Below are 12,101 nucleotides of genomic sequence, written 5' to 3' on the forward strand. Positions count from 1 at the left end.
CTGAAAACCCTAAATAACTATTTCCTGCATTAAAAAACCACCCTCAAAAACATAAAAAGCCTCACACCAACCATCTATACGGTGGGGCTAAGCAGGCATGGCTGTGGGATCACTACGAGGATGAACGGGGACAGAAGTGAGAACACAGCTCCTCTGCAGTGTCTGCCTCAGACGAGGTGCCCAGCAGAGGTAGCCCCTATTCGTCCTCTTCCTAGGAGGAGCTCTTCCAGGAAGGGTTGGGAAACACACATGAATGCACCCTTGGGTAACACACATGAATCTCCCAGACGTCTACAGAGAAGTCTTCCCACTTGCCCCAGTGACTAGCCAAGCCTGGGTGGCCAGCGAGGTTTTGTGGAGCAAACTCCCCTAGTCCCCAGATCTGAACGGTGCGTCCCTGCACAGCAGCTAAGGAGAGGAAAGAAGCAAGGGGCACGGCCACCGCTCAGACGCCGAACTGGATGCCAGAATGGAGAGGTGAAGTCAGGCTGCCTAGGGAGGCTGATTCTACTGTGTACGGTACTGTGCATGGGGAGACGTGGAAAATGCTGGGCTGCAGGGAGAGGAAAAAGAATTAGCACTAAGAAGGAAGCAGAGAGAGAGAGAGAGAGAGAGAGTGAGTGTGTGTGTGTGTGTGTGTGTGTGTGTGTGTGTGTGTGTGTGTGTAGAATCTCTAGAGAACATGGCTGCTTTGATTCCCATCAGCATTCTACTTGCCAGCTCCAGTATCTCAGAAGGTCCAGCTGCACTCCCTGCTGTTGGTTCATTAGTTCATTCCACAAATATTTATTGAGGACCCACTACGTGCCGGGCAGTGTACTGGATGAGGGAGACAAAGTAGCAGACACAAAGAGACAAGGTTGCCATCACATGAGGTTATGTTCCAATGTGTAAGACAGACCACTGATAGGTACAAAATAAATGGACTAGGTCATTTTAGATCATGAGAAGTGATAAAAAGAAAAGAAACAGGGAAATGTGATGGTGAGTAATCAGAGGCGGGCATGAGGATGGCCTGCATTGGATAGGGGTTAGGGTACTCACTGAAAAGAAGACAATTTTTCCTGGGACATTAGCGGTAAGAATGAGTCAGTTATGTCAAGAGCTGGCAGGAAAAGTCTTCTAGGCAAAGCAAACAGTAAATGCAAAGGCTCTGTGGCAGAAAAGGGCTTAGGTGTTGTGAAATTGCATTGTATTCTCTCAGGGCTCTCTCTCTCTCAAGAAAATTTGAGTGAGTTTCTGTTGCTTGTTGCCGAATGAGGGCCTAAAAACACAATTGCTAAATGAACAAACAAGGGTTGCATTTAGTTTTCTATCAGCTTCATCCCTTCCTGGTCTTCAGCCTTCTGGACCCTATTTGTGTGCACTTTCCAATCACCCACCATAGCTCTTCCTTTGTGAGGTACCTTAGTAATCACAACTCTTTCAGTTGCAAATGACAGAAATCCAACTCAAGCAGTTCAAGCCCAAAGGAAATTTATTGGCTTATCGACAAAGCATTCAGGCACAGCTGGATCCGGGACTGTAGCCTCATCGTCAGCATTCTGCCCATCCATTTTCAAATCTTTCCTCTGGTTTCCCTGTGTTGACTGTATTTTTACAGCTGACTTTCCCCACGTTGTGGCAAAAATGGCCACCGGGAGTTCAGGTTTACATTAAACCAGCACAGCAACCACTGGGGCAAGAGAGGTTCTTACAAACCAAACTAAACCAAATGAAAATGAGTTTCCTTGGATGAACTTGAGTCATGTGCCCACCCTTGAGCCAGTCACTGTGATAGGCAAGATGAAATATTCTGATTACCAATTGTGGTTTATTCATGTCTCCTTCCTCTGGAGCTGGGGTCGGGGGTGGGGGTGGTTTTCCAGAGGAAAATCAGGGTGTTGTTACCAGAATAATGGAGGAAGTATTCAGGAAAGCAACTGTAACCAATCCCATGACAACACTCGTCTCTGTCTCTCTTGTACTCATCCTTTATAACACTGGATTCATCAGAGCTGTCATCCTTGTAGCTTTTAGGTAGCTCCTAGTATTCTTCCCCTGTAGCATCCTCTTCAGCTTCCCCATATGAAAGAGAAAATGAAGAGGTGCATTTGTTGGGAAGCGCATTTGAAGGGAAACACCTACAAAATGCCTCCAGGGTTGGCAGCACCCATTCTCAGATGGCAGGCTGTTTGTTCACCACCGTCACTATTAAGGCAAAACAACCAATACTCTGAGAATATGTGGTGATCTTCCAAGGCCAACTGAGCAAGTATTTCCATAGCCATAACTTTTAATTTGTAAATATATATTAATTGCCTATTTGAAAAACTAGACAAATAAATTACTGGAATCCAGAGAAAGGAAGTGCTCTCTACCCAAACATGTTGGGACATAGAGGGAGGGAGATGCATCCGGGTAGTTCTAGCAGGAATCAGGAAATTATGACTGACTGTCTGGCTAACATCTGATATGTGCCAGTTACTATTCTAAGTGCTTTACGTAAAGTAATCTACTTACTCCTATGACAACACTTTGAGTATTATTATCCTCATTTCACAGGTGAGAAAAACATAGTCTCAGAGTGGTTAAGGGATTTGCCCAGGTTACATGGCTTATAAGTGTCAGGACAACCTGGCTACAGAATCCACACCCTCTTGCCTCCTTGGCTGGACCATTCCTTTATTCTCTCTTTGATGCTGAAAGTAAAGCTCAGAGAGATTAAGTGACTTGACCAGGCTACACAGCTGACAAGTGAAAGAGCTAAGACTTCAACCCGGGTCCCCCTGTGCTAAGCTCTTGGCAGGAATGTAAACCCAGGAGTTTGGGGTACCTCAGCCATAAATATGCCTTCTTTCCACTCATTCGTGATTTGCAAGTCACCCTCCTCCACTCAAAAATCTACATTTTGCCACTAAGGTCCAGTCGTGACTGATTTTCGGAATCCATAGCGACAAAAGAAAACCATGTTACTATTTAGTGCAGTGATTCTCAATAATGGCTACATTTAGAATCACCTGGGTGTTTTTTAAAATATGGATGCCAAAGCTCCATCTCAGACCAACAAATCAGAATATTTGGAGGATATCAGTATTTTATAAAAGATACCCAGGTGAATTAAATGTATGATCAAGGTTGAGAACCACTGATTTAACTAATTCCAAACACACACTCAGAGAATGCTGCCAAATGTTTATTCCCTTTCCCCATTAGCTTGTCTTTCATCTCACACAAACTCTACCTTAGATGGGCCCCTGGGTGTCTCTTATTCCTGGCTCCTGTCTTTGTTCCCTTGTCTTATCCACTCCACCCCATCACTTCCCACCAGAGTTCCTTGCTCCATCTGGAAGGCGAAAGTGGAACCTCACAACAGGAGATGAATTTGCCTTTTACAGTCTTCAGTGTGAATCAACTATAAGACAGAGCGTTTGCCTTTTAGAGTCTTCAGTGTGAATCAACTATAAGACAGAGCTTTCTCTTGCTAATACTCACAAGTGAGGATGGGATGAATGCTAATACTCACAGGGATGAAGAGGTACAGGAGAAGAGAACATCATCCTGCTACAATTACAAACTGAAAAGTGCTACGAAGGGAAAGTGGAGAGCAACACATGCAATGACAAGTCCAGCCGGGGCCGAAAGACCTTCAGTGCCTCCTCTGGGTTCATATTCCTAACTATTAAACCAGACTGCAACAACACCTAGTCACATGTCTTCACTTGATGGATGCAAACGAAACCACTGAAAATGTCACCAGCTCCTTTCTTCTGCCCCATCCTTCGCAAGCACTTTGCCATGTGCTGGTGCTGGTTTTCTTCAATGTGGAGATGCTTTCATACTATCTGTAAAAGGCTATGATGTGGGCAGAAAGTTTTAGAACACAGTCATCTTTTTATTTTATTTTATTTTATTATTATTATACTTTAAGTTTTAGGGTACATGTGCACAACGTGCAGGTTTGTTACATACGTATACATGTGCCATGTTGGTGTGCTGCACCCATTAACTCGTCATTTAGCATTAGGTATATCTCCTAATGCTATCCCTCCCCCCTCCCCCCGCCCCACGACACACCCCGGTGTGTGATGTTCCCCTTCCTGTGTCCATGAGAACACAGTCATCTTTAAGATAAAGTAGGCAAGGGTGGGGACACTTGAGAGAGCTGCAGAAGCATGATTCATAATTCCACAGGCATTTTCTGACCGTCTACTTGGAGTCAGATACTATGATGGAAGAAAGAGGCTAAATCTGTGCCCTAAAACGTATCATATAGAGGAAGAATTCTCGAATACTGTCTTAGGGGCTGCTGTGAGGGTCTTCCAGACAGACTCGTCCTTTGAAGTGGCAAGGACTATAAAACAATAGTACCACACTTCTGTTTCTGCAATGGATGATAAAGGAAAACACTGTTTTTCTACACTGTCAACACTTCTGACACCAAATGTATGAGTTATCTACACCAAGCAATTCTCCAGTTCTTTGCAGACACCAACTGGGTATCCTACAATTTAACTCTATTCTTACACTAACTACCTGGAGTTAGCACAGACCTCACAGGCAAGGGCTCAGTCCCACAAGACTGCCTCCACTTCAAAGGCTAATTGCAAGCAGCAAGTCTTCAGGGTTCCCACACTTCTGCCTAAGTTGAATATAAATCAGGGGTTCCCATGATCCTCTCCTCACATTTGATAATTTGCTGTAACAGCTCACAGGATTCAGGGAAACACTACTTAGTACCAGTTTAGTATAAAGGATACAACTCAGGAACAGCCTAATGGAAGAGATGCATAGGGCAAGGCATGGGGAAGGGGCACAGAGCTTCCATGCCCTCTCCAGGCATGCCATCCTCCCAGCATCTCACTTCAGCAACATGGAAGTTCTCTGAACCCCATTATTCAGGGTTTTTATGGAGGCCTTATTATATAGGAATGATTGATTAAATCATTGATAATTGGTGATTATCAATCTTCAGCCCCTCTCTTCTCCCTGGAGGTCAACGGAGTGGACCTGAAAGTTCCAGCCCTTTAATCACACGGTTGGTTCCCCTGGCAACCAGTCCTCATCCTCCAACACAGTCACCTCATTAGCATAAACTCAACATGATTGAAAGGGTCTTATTATGAAAACAAAAGACATTCCTCTTACCTCTATCACTTAGGAACTCTGCACCAGGAACCAGAGACAAAGACAGAAATATATATTTCTTATTATAGCACAGTAGCACAGATGATAACAAGACATTTCATATGAGGCAGTGTCTTTCTTCCCAGCTTTCCTTTTATATTCCCTTAGCAGTAACTGGAAATTTGGATAGAGTAGACAGATGGGTCATGTAATCTCTTGTCAACTGAAGCAATGTGGACCCTGAAGTTTAAGAGACATTTCTGCATTAGAGCCCAAGTTGAGGCCCTCAAAAGTCCTCATGGAAACTACAATGCTTTCTGCCACATTGCAAGTTTCTCACTTCCAGTCCCTGAAGAAGCAGAGCTAGAGATGTGGGGCTAACTATGGACAGCTTTAGGAAGTCATGAGGTTAAAGAGCATTCATGTAGCAATTGTTCATAGAGGGGGTTCTAAGCTTCACAACAACTCTCCAAAGTCAGTGGTGATCATTATACCCATTTTACAGATGACAAAAGTAGGTTCAGTGACTTAGATGACCACAATGAATTAACTTATATGCAACTTATCCTCTTGCCAAAAACCAGTTAAAAAATTAAAAATATATGAAATAGCTAATTTCAGGCTTTAGATAACACACTCACAGGAATGAGAAAGAAAACAATCACTCCAGTTTTCTGCTTGGATTTATTTTCCAGATCGTAGTGCAGAGACAGAGTATCCAAGCAAAAAAGAACAATATTGCTGAATTCAGGAAACTGAGATTTGAGTTTAAGGAGGCTGAGGTGGCTGGAATTTGAAGGGCAGAGTATCAAAGATAAGGGAATATGCAGAGAAAGAACTCCAGAAATATGCTTTAGAGTCCTCCTTGAGACTGTTCATCACATAGTACAGGGAGTTGTCAATTCCCAGCTAGCCAGAACAGGGAGACCTCAGTGTCTCCCTAAAGACCCTATGGGGTAATCCCTTAATAATATGGGTAAACCAGTCTCAAGTAAAGGCTACTCTACACCCATCCTAACAAAGCTTAAAAAGAAGCCTAAAAAGGATCAAGTTGATTCAAAGAAACGTGACAATCAACTAAAACAAACTTTTTTTCTCTTTAAAGGAAGACAACAAAATCTAGACATTCAATAATGTAACATCGAAAATGCCTAGCACCCATCCAAAAATTACAAGACATTCAATGAAGCAAGAATGAGACCAATAACCGGAAGGAGAGAAAAAGTCAAGAGAAAGAGACAAAGAAATGAAGAAACAAACCATTAACAGACAAAACCTTTAACGTTTAAACAGCTAAAAACATATATTATAAATATCCTCAAATATTTAAAGGAAAACATGAATATAATGAGAAGAGAAATGAAAGATATGAAAAAGAATTAAATGGAACATTTAGAACTAAAAAATATAATATTTGAAATAAAAAATCTATTGAATGGCTTTTTAGCATATTAGACACTGAAAAATAAAAAATTGAAAATATATAGCAATTAAGTAATTAAACATATAGCATTAGAAACTACACAAATTGAAGCAGATAAAGAATAAAGGTTCTAGAGACTTCTGGTTCTAAAATGGCAGTGTAGACACAGGCTGACTTCACTCCCCACAACAGAAAAACCGAAACAAATATACAGTGCTGAGATTATTACCAGCAATATCCCAGAATTATGAGTCATTTCTGGGGGGCTACAGAGAAGTGAAAAAAAAACTCAGAGCAGACTGTAAGAGAATGGAATTTTCCATATCTTGATGCCCCTCCCCACATTCTGTGTGGCACTAAGCCTGTGAAAAATCTTCCCCAAATCATGGTTTCTACATTGGAAACGTGAGGGGAAGGTGGCAACCAGCTTCCTTACCATCCTGAGTTTCCTGGCAAAAGGCTTATTCATGCCTCAACCCACAGGAGGCATCATGAGTGGCTCAGAGACAAAGCAGGGAGGCAGGATTAACATCCCCAACCCTGGAAACTGTGCTCTGTAACTCAGTCAAAAAAGATACTAAATCAGAGTAGCTGTTCTGCGGCATCATGTTGTAGGAGGTATGTTTCACATGTCTCCTGGGCGTGAACTCAGGAGGCAGGCAGATCACCTGAGGTCAGGAGTTCAAGACCAGCCTGGTCAACATGGTAAAACCCCATCTCTACTAAAAAATACAAAAATTTGCCGGGTATGGTGATGTGTGCCTGTAATCCCAGCTATGCCGTAGCCTGAGGCAGAAGAATCACTTGAACTCAGGAGGCAGAGGTTGCAGTAAGCCAAGATCATGCTACTGCACTCCAGCCTAAGCGACAGAGTGAGACTCCATTTCGAAAAATAAATAAGTAAATAAATTTAAGAATTAAAAAAGAATAAAAGTCCTAATATACATTTTATATATAATATATATATACACACACACACATACACATACAGAGTTTAATGATCTGTGGGAAAATACCAGCTACAGTCTAATATGCAAATACTTGAAATCCCAGAAATTGGGAGGGGAAAACATATTTGAAGAAAATTTCCAAATGTGATGGAAATTATATGCCCACAAATCCAAGAAGCTAAGTAAACCCCAAGTGGGGCAAACACAATGAACAGCACAATGAATAGCACTAAAGCACATTATAATCAAATATCTGAAAATCAGGAGTAAAGAGAAAAATGTTAAAAGCAGCCAGACAAAAAAGATCTATTACATACAGGAGGACAAAGATAAGAATGATGATAGACTTCCTGTTTAAAACACTGCAAGTCAGAAGACAATGGTGTGACATATTTAAGTGCTGAAAGAAAACAAAAATTGCCAGCCTAGAGTTCAAATTCTACATCCAGTGAAAATAGCTTTCAAAAACAAAGAACAAATAAAGATTTTTTTCAGCCAAACAAAGCTTACCTACACTGCAAGGACAGTCAAAGGAATTTTACAGGCTAAAGGAAAATGATACCAGAAGGAAACTCAGAACTATAGAGAGAAATTGAAGATTGCTGGAAATGGTAGGTATTTAGGTAAATATAAAGCTGTTTTATTTATTTAATAGACAATTAATGGTTTACAGGAAGAATAATTCCTGCTTGGAAAATGAAGAGAGGAGGAAATATTGCAAGCACGGGCAATTTAACCATCTCTTTTATTTCTGTCATATTACTTTCTGCTTATCGTAGCCTACTGGGTAGTACCCTTCTTTGCTCCTACCTACCCACCACAGATGTGATCAATAAATAATCTTCCTGAAGCTCAGCCCTCACTATGACACTCCAACCCCAAGCAGTATTCAATCTTTACAACCTTCCCATTATATATGTGGTAAAGTCTATAGTCCCTAACCCAGCATTCTAAGCCTACTGTAATCTGGACTAAACCCACCCACTGGACGGACACAGTGGCTCACGCCTATAATCCCAGCACTTTGGGAGACTGAGTCAGGTGGATCACTTGAGCCCAGGAGGTAGAGACCAACCTAGGCAACATGGCAAAACCCCGTCTCTAAAAAAAACTTAGCCAGGTATGGTGGTGCACACCTGTGGTCCCAGCTACTCAGGAGGCTGAGGTGGGAAGATCACTTGAGCCTGAGAGGTTGAGGTTTCAGTGAGCCAAGATCACACCACTGCACTTCAGCCTGGGTGACAGAGCAATACTCTATCTCAAAAAACAAAACCAAAAACTTGCCCACCCTTATCTACTGCCTCTACCATGCACAAATAATGTGAGTCTTCTTACCTCCTCCTAGATTCTTTTTTTTTTTTTAATTTGAGATGGAGTCTTGCCCTGTCACCCAGGCTGGAGTGCAATGGCGTGATCTCTGCTCACTGCAACCTCCACTACCCGGGTTCAAGCAATTCTCCTGTCTCGGCCTCCCGAGTAGCTGGGATTACAGGTGGGTGCTACCACACCCAGCTAATTTTTTGTATCTTTAGTAGAGACAGGATTTCTCCATGTTGGTCAGGCTGGTCTCAAACCCCTGACTTCATGATCTGCCTGCCTCAGCCTCCCAAAATGCTGGGATTATAGGTGTGAGCCACCACACCTGGCCCTAGATTCTTATCTCTAAGCCTCTACTCACTTTCCTTTCTCCCTGCTATGTCCTGCTCCTCCCCACTCCCCACCCTCACCCCACACACTTTTTTCTGTCTTTTCTCGCCTTTAAGACCAGGCTGAAGTCTGACATCCCTCCTTGTTCACATTCCCAAGGCCATGATTATCTACAGAAAGACCATGGGCTCTGGAGTCAGATGAACCTGAATTCCAGTCCGGCCTCCACCACCAAATAGGTAAGAGACCTTGAGGACTAGCTTAATTTCAATTTCCCCATCTTTGAAATGGGGAGGGGTGAAGGGATAATTGTCTTAGGTTATTGCATTGTTGTTAGGATTAAAATGAAATAATGGCTGTTAAGTGACAAATACTTGTATTAAGACACCTAATTGTTAACTCACAGCCCACCCTTTTCTTTTAAAACCTGAGATTCAGAAATGAAGATAATATTCTAGGAACTGCATAGGAGATCAAATGACCCTCACTTTCTTCATCTAGGACACTGTTTCTGTTAGTGCAGGTTAAGATCTTAATGGCTTCATATTGCAGCAGCCCCTAAATGTTTTTCACATAAGGTTTTGCTAAATTGTATCTTCTCTGGTTCTACCTGCTCAGTTGATTTTGTTGAAGCTGAGAACTAATTTGTCCCCAAGTTCACCTCATACACAGAGTTCCCTCTTGTGTGCCTATCCCTCACCTCTGAGGAAAGGGGCTGCCTGCCTGATTCAGGGAGCTCATCCCCAGGTGGAGAAGTCACTGCTTTGTCTGGATGCAGTTGAAGGTTTTTGCCAAAAGCCTCTGCTGTTCCGAAATGACCACTATCTGCCTATAGCTCTAACCAGCAGAGATGTGGGTGTTGGTTGAGATACTAGGTCTTCAGTCTGCTTTTCAGATGTAGAGTTTTGAATTTAGATATGGAAAGAAACATGGGAAGTAATCTAGCTCAACCTCATTTTACAGATGATGAAACTGACACCAGACAAGTGCATTGTCCAGGCAGTGGAATTTCTGATTCCAGGTAAGTGGTCTTCTCACTAAGTCAGGAATGGCCCAAAAAGTTTACTCCAGACTACAGGGTGATCTGTGTTGTTCACCACTATATCTCCGGTGCCTGGCACCAAGGTTGTCACTAGTAATCACTCCCCAAACATTTACTGAGTGAATGAATGAATCTTGAAGTACTAACACTAATCAATTAGCGTCCAGAACTTTGAGGCCACTCACAGGCTTAACAGAAAGCTTGTGAGACCTCTTAGTGATGTCTGCCATGAGTGTGGCAGGGGAAAGGAGTAGAACCCCTAAAGTAAACTCTGCAGCTTCTCATATGTAATGGTAGACTCAGGGAGCCACTGATACCTTAGTAAGAATTAGTTTACAAGCCATAGAGAATTTATGTACATCCCAAGGGTCTAAGAAAAAAGTAGATAGGACTCTGAAATTATTGGCCCAGGAAAAAGACTCACAGGTTTGGGATCTAGATGTTCAAGCAATAGGGTCAGGGGTGCAGGACACACTGTCCAAGGCAAGCTTGGATCAAGGTTGGCACTCACTCAAGACATGCCAGGCACCTCACACTCTCTTTCCAATTATCTGTAAAGAACAGACAACAACCTAAAGTACATTTTCTGCTTTTTTAAAAGAAGAGACAGGGTCTGACTCTGTGGGCCAGGTTGTAGTGCAGGGACACAATCATAGCTCACTGTAGCCTTGACCTCCTGGGCTCAAGCAATCCTCCTGCCTCAGCCTCCTGAGTGGCTGGGACCACAGGCACATGCCATCATACCTGGCTAATTTTTCATTTTTTGTAGAGATGTGGTCTCACTATGGTGCCCAGACTGGTCTCAAACTCCTGGCCTCAAGTGAACCTCCTGCCTCGGACTCCCAGAGTGCTGGGATAACAGGCGTGAGCCCCCATGTCCAGTTGTTTGCTGCATTTTAATAGGGATCAAAACCTAAGCTAAAGAAGCACCAGTCAGCAAGTAAAGGAGTTTCAGACCCAGTGAAGCCTTTGCAGGTGTATTCGTTTCCTAGGGCTCCTGTAACAAAGTACCACAAACCAAGTGGCTTAAAATGACAGCAATGTATCCTCTCACACTTCCAGAAGCTAGAAGTCCAAAATCAAGGTGTCAGTAGGGCTATGCTCTTTGAACTCTCTAGTAAGGGAGCCTTCTCTTATCTCTTCCAGCTTCTTGTAGCCCCAGGCATTCCTTGGCTTGGCTTGTAGCATCATCACTCCAATCTCTGCCTCCCTCTTCACATGGTTGTCTTCCCTCTGTTGCCCAGGCTGGAGTGCAGTGGCACGATCTTGGCTTACTGTAACCTCTGCCTCCCGGGTTCAAGCAATTCTTCTGCCTCAGTCTCCCGAGTAGCTGGGATTACAGGCACCCACCACCACACCTGGGTAATTTCTTGTATTTTTAGTAGAGACGGGGTTTCACCATATTGGCCAGGCTGGTCTTGAATTCCCGACCTCAGGTGATCTGCTCATCTCAGCCTCCCAAAATGCTGGGATTACAGGCATAAGCCACCGAGCCCGGCCTTTTCTCCTCTTCTTATAAGGACACCAGTCATACTGGATTAGGGCCACTCTAATTCAGTATGACTTTAACTTGATTACACCTGCAAAGACCCTGTTTTCAGATAAAGTCACACAGGTACCAGGGGTTAGGACTTCAGCATATCTTTTTGGAAGAACACAATTCAACCCACAACAGCAGGAATTCTCATCCCCAAGACAACTTGGAAGATGAGGAGAGAGGCACTCGTCACTGGGGTGAGGCCAGCTCTGGAAACCTCAACCTGGCAAGAGCTGTGCTGCCACGTCGGCTGCTCCCTCCTCCCTTCTTCTCCACATGAAGGTCCTTTCCAATGGGTCCCATGCCAGGATGTCACAGTTCTTCTCTAGAACCGATGGCATTGTGATCAGATAGAGGTGACTCCTGGTCTCAAAGTTTTCTCCCAACCGTACAAGC

The 12,101-nt window shown here is 43.3% G+C and overlaps 1 annotated feature.

Moving 5' to 3' along the window:
- Positions 1,204 to 1,784: an enhancer, noted in NCBI's record as "OCT4-NANOG hESC enhancer chr14:77078938-77079518 (GRCh37/hg19 assembly coordinates)". NCBI's record gives its function as "activates a minimal SCP1, AML or CMV promoter by ChIP-STARR-seq in naive H9 embryonic stem cells {active_cell/tissue: H9 hESC(naive)}" and the evidence as "EXISTENCE:reporter gene assay evidence [ECO:0000049][PMID:30033119]".

Source organism: Homo sapiens, chromosome 14, assembly GCF_000001405.40.
Source record: "Homo sapiens chromosome 14, GRCh38.p14 Primary Assembly".
Classification (NCBI taxonomy): Eukaryota; Metazoa; Chordata; class Mammalia; order Primates; family Hominidae; genus Homo; species Homo sapiens.